The 15,719-nt window shown below is 36.1% G+C and overlaps 1 protein-coding gene across 4 annotated transcripts in view; it reads right to left on the bottom strand.

The window, feature by feature from the left end:
* Positions 1–15,719, bottom strand: part of DBF4 (DBF4-CDC7 kinase regulatory subunit) — a 33,061-nt gene that overhangs the window by 14,484 nt on the left and 2,858 nt on the right. For all 4 annotated transcript variants that reach the window (NM_006716.4, NM_001318062.2, NM_001318060.2 and 1 more), the window contains exons 3-6: positions 9,912–10,091; positions 8,176–8,226; positions 7,672–7,741; positions 7,011–7,087 (exon numbers count right to left, since the gene is read on the bottom strand). In NM_006716.4, coding sequence (NP_006707.1) covers positions 7,011–7,087; positions 7,672–7,741; positions 8,176–8,226; positions 9,912–10,091 — 378 coding nt within the window. The remainder of the gene's footprint in view (positions 1–7,010; positions 7,088–7,671; positions 7,742–8,175; positions 8,227–9,911; positions 10,092–15,719) is intronic.

The raw sequence follows: 15,719 nt of genomic DNA, 5'->3' as shown, positions 1-15,719 counted from the left end.
CAAAAAAGACTAAGGAAAAAAGGAAAAGAGCCACAGGGATCTGTGGAATAACATCAAGATGTCTAACTTTATTGTCAACTGGAATGGTGGAAAAAGAGGGGAGAGACTAGTGAAGAAAAAAAATTAACAAAATAATAGCTGAAAACTTTCCAAACATAAATTTACACAAATCAATAAGCTCAGTGAACCAAGTGTAGGCACAATCGAACTTCTGAAACCAAAGATAAAGAAAAAAATCTTAAAAGCAGCCAGAGAAAAATGATACAGTAGATATAAATGAATACCAATTTGAGTAACTGCAGATTTCTCGTCAGAATCCATGGAGACCAGAAGACAGTTTTAGGACAAGAGTAAGGTGCTGAGACAAAGAACTCTCAATTCATGATTCTTTTTCCAGTAAAGATATGATCACATGAAGGATATCTCAGAGAATTCCTTGTGCCACCAGATTTGCTCTAAAACATGCTAAAGTAAGTCCTTCAGGCTAAAGGGATATATCCGAAGAAAACCTGTAATTTCAGGAAGGAAGAGTAATGGAAAGGTTAACATCTGGGTTAATAGGACTATTTTCCTCCTGTCGCTTTCTTTAAAACCCAACTTTTTTTTTCTTTTTTTTCCCCGAGACAGGGTCTTGCCCTGTCGCAAGCAGTGGCATGATCTTGCCTCTCTGCAACCTCCGCCTCTTGGGCTAAGGCCATCATGCCACCTCAGCCTCCTAAGCAGGTGGGACTACAGGCGCATGCCACCAGGCCTGGCTAATTTATATATATATTTTTTGTAGAGATGGGGTTTCACCATGTTGCCCAGGCTGGTCTCGAACTTCTGAGCTAAAGTGATCCACCCACCTTGGCCTCCCAAAGTGCTGGGATGACAGGTGTGAGCCACCAGGCCCAGCCCTAAAATATGACTTTTTCAAGCAAAAAGTTTAACATTGTCTGGTGACATTTTCATTATAAGAAGATGTACTAAACATTATGGCATAAAGGTTGGTGGGGAAGGTAAAAGGGCTTGAATATTTTAAGGCTTCTACATTTTATTTGAAGAAGGTAAATATTAATTCAAGATAGATTGCGAAAGGTCACACATGTATATCGTAAATCCTATAGCAACCACTAAAATAAAACAACAAAAATGAAGAGAGTTAAAAAGCTGGCAGATCAATCTGAAAGAAGGCAGGAAAGGGGGAAACAGAAATAAAATACAGAGGGCATCAGCAGAAAACTAACAGTAAGATGGTAGACCTAAATACAAGATCAATAGTTACATTAAGTATAAATCACTTAAACTACCAATTAAAAGACAGATTGCCAAATTTGATGAAAAAGACAATATCTGCAAGAAGTCCATTTTAAATATATAGATATGTTAAATGCAAAAGACTGCAAAAAGTACTATGTAAATACTAATAAAAATAAAGCCAGAATGGTCTACATCAGAGAGCAGACTTCAGAATAAGAATTAACAGGGACAGAAGAGAGAGCATTACAGAGGCTAGAAGGGTCAATTCACCAGGAAGACATAAGAAGGCCGGGCGCGGTGGCTCACGCCTGTAATCCCAGCACTTTGGGAGGCCGAGGCGGGTGGATCATGAGGTCAGGAGATCGAGACCATTCTGGCTAACAAGGTGAAACCCCGTCTCTACTAAAAATACAAAAAATTAGCCGGGCGCGGTGGCGGGCGCCTGTAGTCCCAGCTACTCGGGAGGCTGAGGCAGGAGAATGGCGTGAACCCGGGAAGCGGAGCTTGCAGTGAGCCGAGATTGCGCCACTGCAGTCCACAGTCCGGCCTGGGCGACAGAGCGAGACTCCGTCTCAAAAAAAAAAAAAAAAAAAAGAATATTAAATGTGTACATATCCAACAACAGGCTTCAAAATGACTCAAAACTGTACTAGAACTAAAAGGAAAACTAGACAAATCCACAATTTTACTTGGTAATTTCAATATCCCTCTCTCTCAGTAGTGGACAGAACAAGGCCTGAGCAACATTTCTATATCCTGGATACAGAAAACATGAGCAACGCTATCACTCAAGTTGATCTAACTGACTTGTAAACAATACTGTACCCAACCACAGCAGAATATACATTTTCTTCAACTGCACATGGAATGTTACCAAGATAGACTATATTTTGGGTAACTCTGATAAATTTTTTAAAACTAAAATAATAAAAAGCACGTTATATGGCCATAACAGAATTAAAATAGAAATCAGTAAACAGAAAGATAGCTGAAAAATTCCTATTTGGAAACAAATGATAAAAGTAACCCCACAGGACAATGAGTAAGTCACAAGAGAAATTTAAAAATATTTTTAATTGAATAAAGATGAAAATCCAACCTATCAGCAACAGGAACTCTCATTCATTGCTGGTGGGAATACAAAATGGCACAACTACTTTGGAAGACAGTTTGGCATATTATAACAAAACTAAACCTAGTCTTACTATGTGAAGCAGCAATCATACTCTTTGGTTATTTACCCAAATGAGTTGACAATATGTCCACAAAAAAACCCTGCACGTGGATATTTACATTAGCTTTATGCATAACTGCCAGAACTTGGAAGCAACCAAGATGTCCTTTAGTAGGTAAATGGATAAACTGTGCTGCATATAGAAAATGAAATATTACTCAGATTTTAAAAAGAGCTGTCAAGCCATGAAAAGACATGGAGGAACCTTAAATAAGCATTACCAAGTGAAAGAAGCCAATCAAAAAAGGAAACACACTGTATGATTCCAACTATATGACACTGTGGAAAAGGCAAAACCATGGTGAATGTAAAAGCATCAGGAGTTATCTGGGGTTTAAGGGAATGGGGGGATAAACACGGAAGATTTTTAGGGCAGTGGAACCATTCTGTATGATACTATAATGATGGACACACGTCATAATCATACTTGTCAAAACTCATAGAATGTACAACACTAAGAGTGAGCCAAAATGTGAACTATGAACTTTGGATGATAATGATGTGTCAATGTTAAGTTCATCGATTATAACAAATGTACCACTCTGGTGTGGGATGTTAGGACAAGGAGTATGTAAAACATCTCTGTACCTTTCATTCGATTTTACTGGGAACCAAAAACTTCTCTAAAAAAATAAAGTCTATTGATAAAATATCCAGTGTAAAATGTGTGGGATGCAGCTAAAGGAAAGCTTAAAGAAAATTTATAGCATTAAGATAAAAGAAAGGTCTCAAATCAATGATTCAAGCTTTTTACCTAAGAAACTACAAATAGAAATATAAACCCAAAATAGGCAGAAGAAAAGAAATAAGAGCAGAAATCAATAAAACTGAAAACAGAAAACCACACACACAAAAAATCAATGCCACTAAAGGCTGTTTCCTTGAAAATATTAATAACTGGTAAAACTAGCCAGATTGACTAAGAAAAAAGGAATAGACACAAAATAGCATTATCAGGAATGGAAGAGGGGACATTATTACAGTTCCCATAGACATTACAAAGTTAATAAGGGAGTATTAGAAACAACTCTTTGCCCATCAATTTGACAACCAAGACACAATGGACAAATTCCTTGAAAAACAGACTACCAACATGCACTGAAGAGAAAATAACCTGAATTATCCTATATCTAATGAATAAATTGAATTCATAGTTAAGAATCTTCCAACAAAGAAAAATGTCAGGGCTAGATAGCCTTGCTAGTAAATTCTACCAAACATTTAAAGAAATAAAAACAATTCTATAAAAACTTCTCTGGAAAATAGAAACAGGAACACATATCAGTGTGTTCTGAAAATAGGATTAAACATTCCACTAAAACCAGACAAAGACATCAAAGAAAAAGACCAATATTCCTCCTGCACATGTATGTAAAAAATTCGACAAAATAAGTTTTGAGTAAACTGGAAAAAAAAAAAAAAAAGAAAAGCCCAAACCTCAAAGCACTTTAAATAAAGCAATGAGTAAAATACCTTTATCCAATTACCATATTTTAAATAAGATACATACTAATAAGAACATTTATGGGAACCTAATAAACATTTTGAAATTTATACATGTCCATTCAAGACTCTTAAATGTAATTTCACTAATTTTGTTTTAGTACTTGGCAAACTAAAAATTTTCCAGAAACATTCCTTTCTTATATACCAAAATAAAAATTTCCAGTATGAGTATCAATTCAACCAGATATAGATTCTGGACTATCAAGATATTTGGTATTATTATCATTTTTATTTTAGAAGAAAGATTAAGATCTGTTTCATAGCTATTTTATCTTTTCTTCGTTTTATGAGGGCTCCTACTGCATGGCACATAGCAGGCATTTAATATTTGTTACTACTGAAGGAATGATGAGGACTAAACTTGGTCTTTATGATGTTAATAATCTAGTAAATACTAGACTCAAGACACTGACTAGGCACTGAAACCAATTAAGTATCTTTCAAATCTTCCCCTCCCCTTTGTTATTGCCTTAAGCCAGGCCTTGAACATTTCTCAGGATCACTGACATAACATCCCAGAATGCTATCTATCCATCCATCCATTTATTTATTTATTTTGAGATGGAGTCTCACTCTGTCACCCAGGCTGGACTGCAGTGGGGGTGATCCCGGCTCACTGCTACCTCTGCCTGCCAGCTTCAAGTGATTCTCTTCTATCAGCCTTCCAAGTAGCTGGGATTACAGGCATGCACCACCACACCGGGCATTTTTGTATTTTTAGTAGAGATGGGGGTTTCACCATGTTGGTCATGCTGGTATCCTGACCTCGTGTGATCTGCCCACCTTGGCCTCCCAAAGTGCTGGGATTAGAGGCATAAGCCTCCATGCTTAGCCCCCAGAATGCTTTTTAAACTGCAAACTGTGACCTATCAGTAGGCTATAAAGTCAATTCAGAGTTGTGATCAATATTTTTAAGAAATGAAAATACCACAGAAATATTAATATCCACCACATTAAGGAGGGTAACTATTGTTCTATGAAACTTATTTCAGATATATATACACATATACATGAAGACAGACATAATTTGTGTATTCAGAGTCCATAAATGTCCTTATGAGTTTACATTTTTTTAAACATTTACTTCTATATACAATCCAAACAATCTGCTAAGTGTGGTAGAGGCAATTTATATGCCATTTAGCAAAGTCCAATACAGGAATATCCACTTATATTTTGTGAAAATTTGGAAATAGTCATTTAAATTTTTAACCCAGACCTATTATCTAATCCTTGTAATTCCTCATCCAAAGTTCTCAGATCTCTACTTTTATATTTCCCATTCACTTTTCAACCTACAAGGTATAAAACTTCTGACCAGTTTTCCAAATCATTTTTACACTTTGATTGATAGTTTTATTTAAATACTACTTTGTTGCTTTCTGCAAATTATCCTTATATAAACGTGAATTTATTAAAAACGAGAAATGCATAAAAAGTTTATGCAGCCTTATATACGGCATGTATATACCAAGTGGTCATCCTATAAAATGTATTCAGTAAAAAATGAGGGCTGGGTGTGGTTGCTTATGGCTGTAATCTCAGCACTTTGGGAGGCTGAGGCGGGTGGATAGCTTGAGCTCAGGAGTTCGAGACCAGCCTGGGCAACATGGCGAAACCCCGTCTCTACAAAAAATACAAAAACTAGCCAGGTACGGTGGCTCATGCCTGTAGTCCCAGCTACTTGGGAGGCTGAGGTGGGAGGATCGCTTGAGCCCGGGAGGAGGAGGTTGCAGTGAGCTGAGATGGCACCACTGTACTCCAGCCTGGATGACAGAGGGGGAGGGCCTGCCTCAAAAAAAAAAAAAAAAAATTGTTCAAGAGTTCAAAAGCCATTTTTCAGTCTTGCCAAATAATTCATTCTTTACTGTCAACCAGAAGATCTTTCCAAAATGACTATCCAATCAGGTTACTCTATTTATAATCTTTCCATAATTTTCCAAACTCTCCAAGATAAAATCTAACTCCTTTATATAGGGCAAGGTACTTTATAATCTTAACATGCTGGTTTTTCCAGCTTTATCTTTTGTCACTGGCACACTCAAAGATCAGGCTGTATTATGCTATACAAGATTTCTAAAATATGCCATCCTACTATGGCTTCATGTCTCTATATACACTCTTATCAGTTTATTATTTTTAGATCCCTGTCATTTAAATATTGAACAAAGGAAAAGTAGGCCACAAAAGAATGGTCTGAGAAATATGAAGAGATCAGGAGAAAGCTAAGAGATGAAATTTCAGAAGAGAATAGAAAAGTTTAAGGAAGAAATGGACAACAGCTGAGAGAACCAATATGACTGGGTTTAAAAAGTATCAAAATGATTTGGAAAACTGGTCAGAAGTTTTATACCTTGTAGGTTGAAAAGTGAATGGGAAGTATAAAAGTAGAGATCTGAGAACTTTGGATGAGGAATTACAAGGATTAGATAATAGGTAGGTAGGGATGTGGGATCAAGGGAGGTTTTACTGTATTTGTTTTAAAGGATGGAAAAAGCCTGAAACTGTATAGATGCTTCAAAGAAGCAACAAGGAAAAGGAAAGGGACTGAAGATAATGGGAACATTAGGTTTAACAGAACGTTAACAACCAATGTGGTTGTTTAACAAGTATTTCAAGGTCAGGCCAGTTAGCTATGCTAAAACGAGATTTTGTTATACCATTTAGAGCAGTTGAAAAGGATAGTACATATTTATATTCCAAAAAGAAGTACATTACTTACATTAGGAACGTTTATACAACAGGCTGATTTTAGTGATTTTTCTACAGAATAAATAAAAGTACCTGTTACAAAACAGCAGTAACAAAAGGGGGCTGAGGAAGCGACCTATGCCACTATTCCAGGAACAACTTTTACCTGGTGAGTACAACCCTAAAGTTAAATGACACTCGATTTATTTGAATAACAGAAACAGGCACATCATACACAGGCTTGCCCCTAGGATATTTTCTGCTTGGGAGGAAAACTTTGCAAATACGTAAGTAAAAAAACCAAGCTTGGTCACTTTAAAAATTGAAAAAGAAAACATACCCCATCTCTTACTGAAGTACTTGATTTCTTGAGTAAATACAACTCTTTTTTCTTTTGTTCAATGTAGTATCTAATGTCTTTATTAAAAGAAAGAAGGTTTTAAGATTAGCAATTTTACTCTTGGAGTTAAACAGTGATATTTTCTTGTAGTTAAATTAGATAAAGAATTTACCATTATAGGTATCTCTTATGCTATGGTCTGAATGTTTGTCTCCTCTAAAACTCATGTTGAAATTTAACCCCCAGTGTGACAGTACTTACTGAGAGATGGGACCTTTAAGAGGGAATTCATGGATTAATGGGTTATCATGGGAGTGGACCTGATATCTTTATAAAAAGAGAAAGAGAGACCTGAGCTAGCACACTCAGCCCCTCACCATGTGATACTCTGTGCTGCCTCAAGACTCTGCAGAGTCTCCACCAACAAGAAGGCCCTCACCAGATGCAGCCCTTTGACCCAGGACTTCTTAGTCTCCATAACTGTAAGAAATAAATTCCTTTTCTTTGTACATTACCCAGTTTCAGGTATTCTGTTATAAGCAATAGGAAACAGATTAAGACATCCCTGCTATCAAAATTTCACTATGTAAAGTCAGGAACCAAAGGACAGACATGGACACTTAAAACAAATACTGTCAAAAAACAATTATAAAATCCTTACCATCAATATGAAGAATTTTTACTCCCCATGACAAGGCATTTGATAATATACTATTTGAAGGAATAAAATCCTGTAAAAAAAAAAGTTTTATGGTTGTTCTAGGAAATTATTTAAGATGAGCTAAATTTTAATAAAAATTCAATTATTTGAAGTTTAATGTCACTAAGGCAGTTATTTGTAACAGACCCTATAGAGTTACAATAGCTAGGACATCAAGATTTTCTATAGAATTCCTAAAATCAATCCCACTTTATACCCACATCCTTGGTAATTTAATGAAAACTATAAGGCAAGTTTTAAGTTTCCAGTAATATTTTAAAAGGCCACAAGATGGGGATGTTTCTACATGAAAAGTAAGTTCTTTACTTTGTAAAATAAAATATATGCTGAGATTCAGGTTTTTGCCTAAAAATGTGGAAAGGAAAATTTCAAGAATATCTGTAATTTCCAGTTGAGTTTTTAATAACAAAATGTACAATGTGAATCTTTATAGTTCCTACTTACATGGTCCTTGATAGCTTTTTCAACTAATAATTTTCCTCTGCTTAAACACACCTATAAAAAGACCAGAAAAATTTAAAACATAGTGCTTAACTGGAGAACAGGTTAAAAAGGTAAAGCAGCTAAGAAAAGAGAACTTTTGGGTCTCATATTAAAAAGTTTCTCTTTTTTGGGTGACCTCTTTGGTTTTGTAGTAAATTCTATTCAACATGAAAAATAAAATAGCTAGGTTTCACTGGAATTCTTTATAATTAATTGGCTTACATTTTAGTTCCTATTAAATCAGAGATTTCAGAAAAACAATAAATTTTATATACTGTTTTCACATGTTATTTCACCTTTTTTTTTTTTTTTTTTTTTTTGGAGACAAAGTCTTGCTGTGTCGCTCAAGCTAGAGTACAGTGGTGTGATCTCAGCTCATTGCAACCTCTGCCTCCCGGGTTCAAGTGATTCTCCTGCCCCAGCCTCCCAAGTAGCTGGGACTACAGGCACGCACCATCATGCCCGGCTAATTTTTGTATTTTTTTTAAGTAGAGATGTGGTTTCACTATGTTGGCCAGGCTGGTCTTGAACTCCTGACCTCGTGATTCACCCACCTCAGCCTCCCAAAGTGCTGGGATTACAGGCGTGAGCCACCGCACCCAGCCGTTACTTCACTTTTTAAATAAAGTACTAGGAAAACTCGTTGAAATGCCATAACCAACAATTATTTTGGAATCGCTGGTGTATTGTCTCCTTGCTCCAAAAAAGCATTAACTCAGAGAATGCATGGTCCTTTCTTGATCTCTTTTCCATTCTTTCTTCTATGTATTGTATCTCTTTTTTCAAGTGATAGCTCCTTTCTGACTCATTTCTTCTGTTTTCTCCTCATTTTCCTTAATTTTCAAATGGCTATAATAGGTAAGTCGAGGAGAATATTGTAAAATAATAACTTAATTACACTTCAACCTAAAAACTGAAATAAACATTTTATCTCTCATTTGATCCTATCCCACCTCACACCCAATTAAATCAATTTAATTTGTCTTTCCTTGCATCTTTCAATTTACTGGCCATGGAGTGGTAGGGATGTGATTTCAATAATTCTAGAATAGGGGCTGGCAACCTTTTTATGCAAAGGACCAGACAGTACACATTTTAAGCTTTGTTGGCCATATGGTCTCTACAGCAACTATTCAATTCTGCCTAAAACACAACAACTACAGATTATACCTAAACAAACAGGTATGGCTGTGTTCCAATAAAACATTATGACAATGAAATCTGAATGTCATAAAATTTCTACTTGTCACAAAATATTCTTTTGATATTTTTACACAACTATTTGAAAATGTAAAAACCATGCTTAACCTGCAGGTTGTACAAAAAAGGCAACAGACTAGATTTGGCCCATGGGCCAGAGTTTGCTGACCCCTGCTCTGAAAATTAAAAAGGTTTCTATTTCTTCTTCAAAGAATGATCTGCTCTTAACTTTTTAGTTGTAAATTATTCTAAAAACTACACGCCATCCCTAAATACAAGGGTATACCTAAGCAATCAGAGTATGATTACACAAGAACTATTAGGAAAAACCCACCTTCCTAAAAGACAGCAACTTTATTGAGGACTAGAGAGCCACACATCATGTGGCTTTGCAAATGTTCTACATAAGTAAACTCTACTGCCACCTTGCTATTAAAAACCAGGAGATCTTCAGGATATAGCCCTTCTGAGTCTCAAAGCATATTTAAGAGACTTACTGTGTCTGGTGACTTAAATGAACTTCCATCATGGCTGGGATGAGGTGAAGTGGTTTCTGCAGTATATGCAGATTCTGGACTTGGTACAGGAGAAATTCGACCCAAGGTTTGTGCAAATTTAGCTTCCTTCTTATTTGAAATAAGATAACTGATATCTTTGCTGAGAAATTCTTCAACTCGCTAGAAGAGAACAAAGTATTTTTATTTATAAATTTGTTTTAAGAAACACGGTCTCACTGTGTTATCCAGGCTAGAGTGCAGTGGCACAATCATAGCTCACTGCAGCCTCAACCCCCTGTTCTCAAGTGATCCTCCCGCCTTGGCCTTCTGAACAGCTGGGACTATAGGCACATGCCACCAAGGTATTTTCAACTAGGTCATAAAAACCATAAACTGTTTCATATGCCAAGCACAGTAAAAAATTTCAATTTGATGCAATTATTTCGTAAATTGGTGGTTTTTATACTGTATTTTTCTGAACCTAGATCTCTGAGGAAGTATAAGAGCTCCTATAACAGCACAACAGCAGCATGTGCTGGATACTATTCTTAAATACTTTATATATGTTAATTAACTTAATCTATGGAACAGCCTCATGATACTATCTACATTTTCTGCAGGATAAAAAGTGAAGAGAGGTGACTTGCTTAATGTTACCCAGTAGCAAATAATATAATTTGAACATAGGCATTCTGACTCAAGCCCATGATCTAAAGCAGCAGTGTCCAATACAACTTACCAAAGCATTTGAAATGGCCTTGGTAGTGTGATTAAGCCACTGAATTTTTTGTTTCTTAAGAGATGGGGTCTTGTTATGTTGCCCAGGTTGGCCCTGAACTCTTGGGCTCAAGAGAGCCTCCTACCTCAACCTCCCAAGTACCTGAGAGTACAGGCACACACTACTGCGCCTAGCTCAAGCCACTGATTTTTAAATTTGATTTTAAAGACTTTAAATTTAATAGCCACATATCACTAATGGTTACCATAGCAGACAATACAAGTCTAAATCAATCATTATTACACCTTCCCTTGAGGCTTCAACTTACAGGATGGAGGGAACCTTTACGCTTAAGAGTGTAAGACTGTTTGAATAGAATTTCTTTACTAAAATGTTTGAAAACCACCGCCTAAGTATCTGAATTTACTTATAAAGACATGTACCAAAGTGAAGGTTATTAAAGATCGCCAGGGTCAGGAAAATAAAAATAGGGAGAAGTAAATACTAAGTAGAATTACTAATATTATTAGAAAAATACATAGTATAAATATGTATACTATAAATACCCACTAAGCAGAAGTAAACTGTGAATCATTAATAAGCAGTAACAATTTACATCCATGAAAGACTTCTCAGAATATTTTAAATAGCTGTATCTATTTTCTATAGGATCCCACACTATAAATGATAATAAAAATGAAGTGTGTAACAGATAAGTTAACTTCATCTAAGCATTAAGCAGCATTTGCTACTGAGACCAGTGGCCTCCTTGGTTAAGTGCAAATCATTTCTTTTCCGACCAACATTCATTTTCATTGAACAGTAAATAATGTACCTACATTTATTTATTCCAGGGATTAGACTCAAATGCCTATAAGGGCCAGGCAATAATACAAATAATTCACACATCAAATACTGCCTTCATTTTCATAAATATGAGGCCCTAATAATGTCAGAGGTTCTAATTTTTCATAAGAAACCCGATCTCCTATACACTTTTATTGTGATAAATATAAAATTAGCCATTTTAACCATTTTTAAGTGTACAATTTAACGGCAGTAAGTACACTCACATTATGCAACCATCACTACTAAAACATTTCTATAACTTTTCCATGATCCCAAACTGAAAGTCTGTACCCATTAAACAGTAACTCCTCATTCCTCATTTTTCCCAGCCCCTCATAACCTTTATTCTACTTTCCATCTCTGAAATTGGCTATTCTAGATAACTCATATAATGGAATCCTACATTTGTTCTTTTGTAACTGGCTTCCTTCACTTAGCACGTTTTTTGTGGTTCACCCATGTTGTAGCATGTATTAGAATTTCATTCCTTTTTAAAGCTGAATAATATTCTATTGTATGTATATACAACCTCTTCTTTATCTATTTACTTGTTGGACATTAAGGCTGTTCACACTTTTTAGCTATTGTGAATAATAAATATCTTTGAGACCCTGCTTTCAATTATTTTGTATGTATAGCCAGAAATGGAATTGCAAAATCATATAGTAATTCAATTTTTTACTTTTTTCAGAAACTACCCATACTATTTTGTATGGTGGCTATATCGTGTTACACTACCACTCAGAGTGCACAAGGGTTCTACTTCTTCAAATCTTTGTTAACACTTGTTATTTTTCTGGTTAACAGTAACCATCCTAACAGGTGTTAAGTGATTACTGATTGACATTTCCCTAATGATTAGTGACGTTGAACATTTTTTCATGTACTTATCTGCCATTAGTATATCTTTTCTGAGTAAATGTCTTTTCAGTTCCTCTGCCCATTTTTAAATTGGGCCATTTGTCCTTTTGTTCTTGGGTCACAGAAGTTCTTTATATAAGTATTCTGGATATTAATCCCTTAGCAGATGTACAATTTGCAAAGATTTCCTGCAATTCTGTGCGTTCTTTCACTCCTGAAAATGTCCTTTGAGGCACAAAAGTTCTTAATCCTGATGAAGTCCAATTTCATACTTTTCATTTGTTGCACATGATTTTGGTATCATATCCAAGAAATCACTGCCAAATCCAATGTCATGAAGATCTCTCCCTATATTTTCCACTAAGAGTTTCAGTTCTTACAAATAAATCTTAGATCCATTTTGAGCTCATTTACGCATATGACAGTAAAGGTCCAACTTCATTTTTCTGCATGTAGATATCCAGTTTTCCCAGCACCAGCTGTTGAAAAGATCATCTTTTCCCCAATGAATGGTCTTGGCACCCTTCTTGAAAATCCATTAGCCATATATGCAAGGGTTTATTTCTGGGTTCTCTGTTCTACTCTATTGGTCTGTATGTCTGTTCTTATGTTAGTACCACTTATTTCCTTTGGTTTTTAATTTCTTACATAGTTAAAACTCCTTAGAGTGAATAAAACGCCCTTTGCAATCTAGCCCTAATATAATTTTGTTTGCTGTCACTTCCCCCACCTATATCCTAAGCTCAAATCCCACTGCAACATTAGTAGTTGTACAAACAAACTGCATTGACATATATTTTAAATATGCTTTCCTCTATTTAGTATGTCTATTTGCCTTGCTAACTAAGACTTCAAGATCCAGCTCAAACTTTATCTCTGTTGATTCCAAACGGCAGAGTTAATCATTCCTATCTCTGTGTTCTAATAGCAATTTCTACATATTTCTGTCAAAGCATTGACAACACTCTAACATAAATTATTCAGTTGTCTGAGGTTTCCACTAGACAAAGAATACCTAGAGGGTTATATTTTACTTATTTTTGTATCTCTAGGATCTAAAATAGTGCTGATATACTGGAGACAGTGGTGGAATAATTTTTGAATGAATTCCCACATGCCCAAATCTTCATCATTCTTCAAAGCCGTGTTCCAGTTGTGTGTGAACAAAACCCACAATTCCTCAGCTGGAACTAATCTCTCCTTTCTCTTGACATTCTATGTTGTATTATTAACACAATTACTTGTACCAATGTCATCTCTAGCTAGGTTAGAACATGAGGATGGGATGGACATAAGGATTCATTTTTTATTTTATTTTTCTTTTGAGACACAGTCTCGCTCTGTTGCCCAGGTGGAGTGCAGTGGCACAATCTTGGCTCACTGCAACCTCCAACCCCCAGGTTCAAGAGATTCTCCTGCCTCAGCCTCCCCAGTAGCTGGGATTACAAGTGTGCGCCACCATGCCCAGCTAAATTTTTGTATTTTTAGTAGAGATGGGGTTTCACCATGTTGGCCAGGCTGGTCTCAAACTCCTGACCTCAAGTGATCCGCCTAACTCAGCCTCCCAAAGTGCTAGGATTACATGCGTGAGCCTCCGAGCCTGGCTGGATTCATTTTTGAATCTACCAAAACACAGAGTGCAGTGCACATCATACTCAAACATTTGTTGAATCAATTTTACCAGGGTCTTCAATGTATTAGATATTGTTGAATCTATGCCATTTAAAGAGTAAACTCAAAACGTATTTTCTGATGACTCAAGGTGATCATGACGAACATCAAACATTTTACAGTTCAAGCTAATACGCCAAGGTATCGGCCTACATTTCTGTTCCTCTCCAATTGCCTTATTTTAGCCAAAACTATTTAGACATGGACCTAACTGTGGCTGATCCCATGTCCTCCTTAGATGGTTCTGTAACACCTACTTTTCTTGCACTATTAAAGGTATTTCCCCTTTATATCAGAATCTGGGTGCTGTGCTCTCAGTGGTTAAATTTGTCAGAAGCATACTCTGCAGATAAATGGGATATTAAGATGTTTTCACCGAGATTATAGAAACCAAAGTACGTGAAATGGTGAATTAAAAAGGCACCTAAAGTAATGATGTGAAGATAAATTAACTCATGTAGAAGATCGTTATGACAAAATCTTTTTTAGTGATAGAAACAGTAAATGTGCTGAAGACAGAAACCAGGACCTGAGGATTAAATATCATTAATTATAGAAAAGATAGTATGGGAAGATCAGAATTCAATAAATAAGACATTTTTTAGGAGAAAGTTAATAAATCAAATTCCATTGAAAATCCACAGCTTTGGATTTTTGGGAAATCCAAAGGAAAATTTGGGAACTTACACCCTTAATATGCTCCTAACTTCACTGGTCTACTTCAATCATTTCAGGGGTAAAGACTAAGTATGTAAAACCAAAAGGTCCCTCAACTATTATGTATGGCAGAAGTAATTCAAAATTTGTTTCTTGCAATTACCTCAGGAACTGCTGTGGAGATAGAAGAAAGAAGGTGACGGGGCAAGTAGTTCTTGCTTTAGCCTCTGTACTGCTGTTTTAGCCCAAGGGGTTCCCTTTTTACAGGCTTTACACATTGGACTTCTGAATATTATTTTGTTTAAAGGGTTCTACTGATAAAAACACAAATCTAAGTATCACTGATTTAGACCATTAGACCTAGAGTTAATGGGTTGTTCATCATATTTGAGAAAATTGTCATCAAACTGTATCAGATAGCTACTTTGAGCTACCTTTTTTTTTTTTTTTTGGACATAGGGTCTCACTGTCACTCATACTGGGGTACAGTGGCACAATCTTGGCTCACTGCAACCTCCGCCTCCCAGGTTCAAGTGATGCTCATGCCTCGGCCTCCCGAATAGCTGGGACTACAGGCATGCACCACCATGCTTGGCTAATTTTTGTATTTTTCAGTAGACATGGAGTTTTGCCATGTTGCCCAGGCTGGTCTTGAACTCCTGGCCTCAAGTCATCTACCTGCCTTGGCCTCCAAAAGTGCTAGGATTACAGGTGTGAATTACCAGCCAGATAGCCATTTGTAGCCATTGATTGCTAGAGGAACAGAATGGTGCAGGTACTATGTTGCTGTGGGAATTAAGAAGCTAATACTGCTCTAATTGGGCCATTTACTTTCTCTGGACCTCAAGTACTTTGTTTCTAAGATGAAGGGGTATTTTTTACTCAATGTCTAAGGTCCTTAACACATTAAGATACTCTTAATAGGTGTATAGTCAATAGGGTGGCAGGCCTAGAAAACATGACCTTTAAGAATGCTGTCATATGATCATTACCATAAATACAACTATTACAAGCATGTGACAGTGTTTTAGTTTAACAAAATGAATAGTAAA

The sequence above is a fragment of the Homo sapiens genome, chromosome 7 (assembly GCF_000001405.40).
Source record: "Homo sapiens chromosome 7, GRCh38.p14 Primary Assembly".
NCBI lineage: Eukaryota > Metazoa > Chordata > Mammalia > Primates > Hominidae > Homo > Homo sapiens.
Note: the sequence above shows the minus strand (reverse complement) of the source record. Positions and strands in the feature narration are given on the sequence as shown.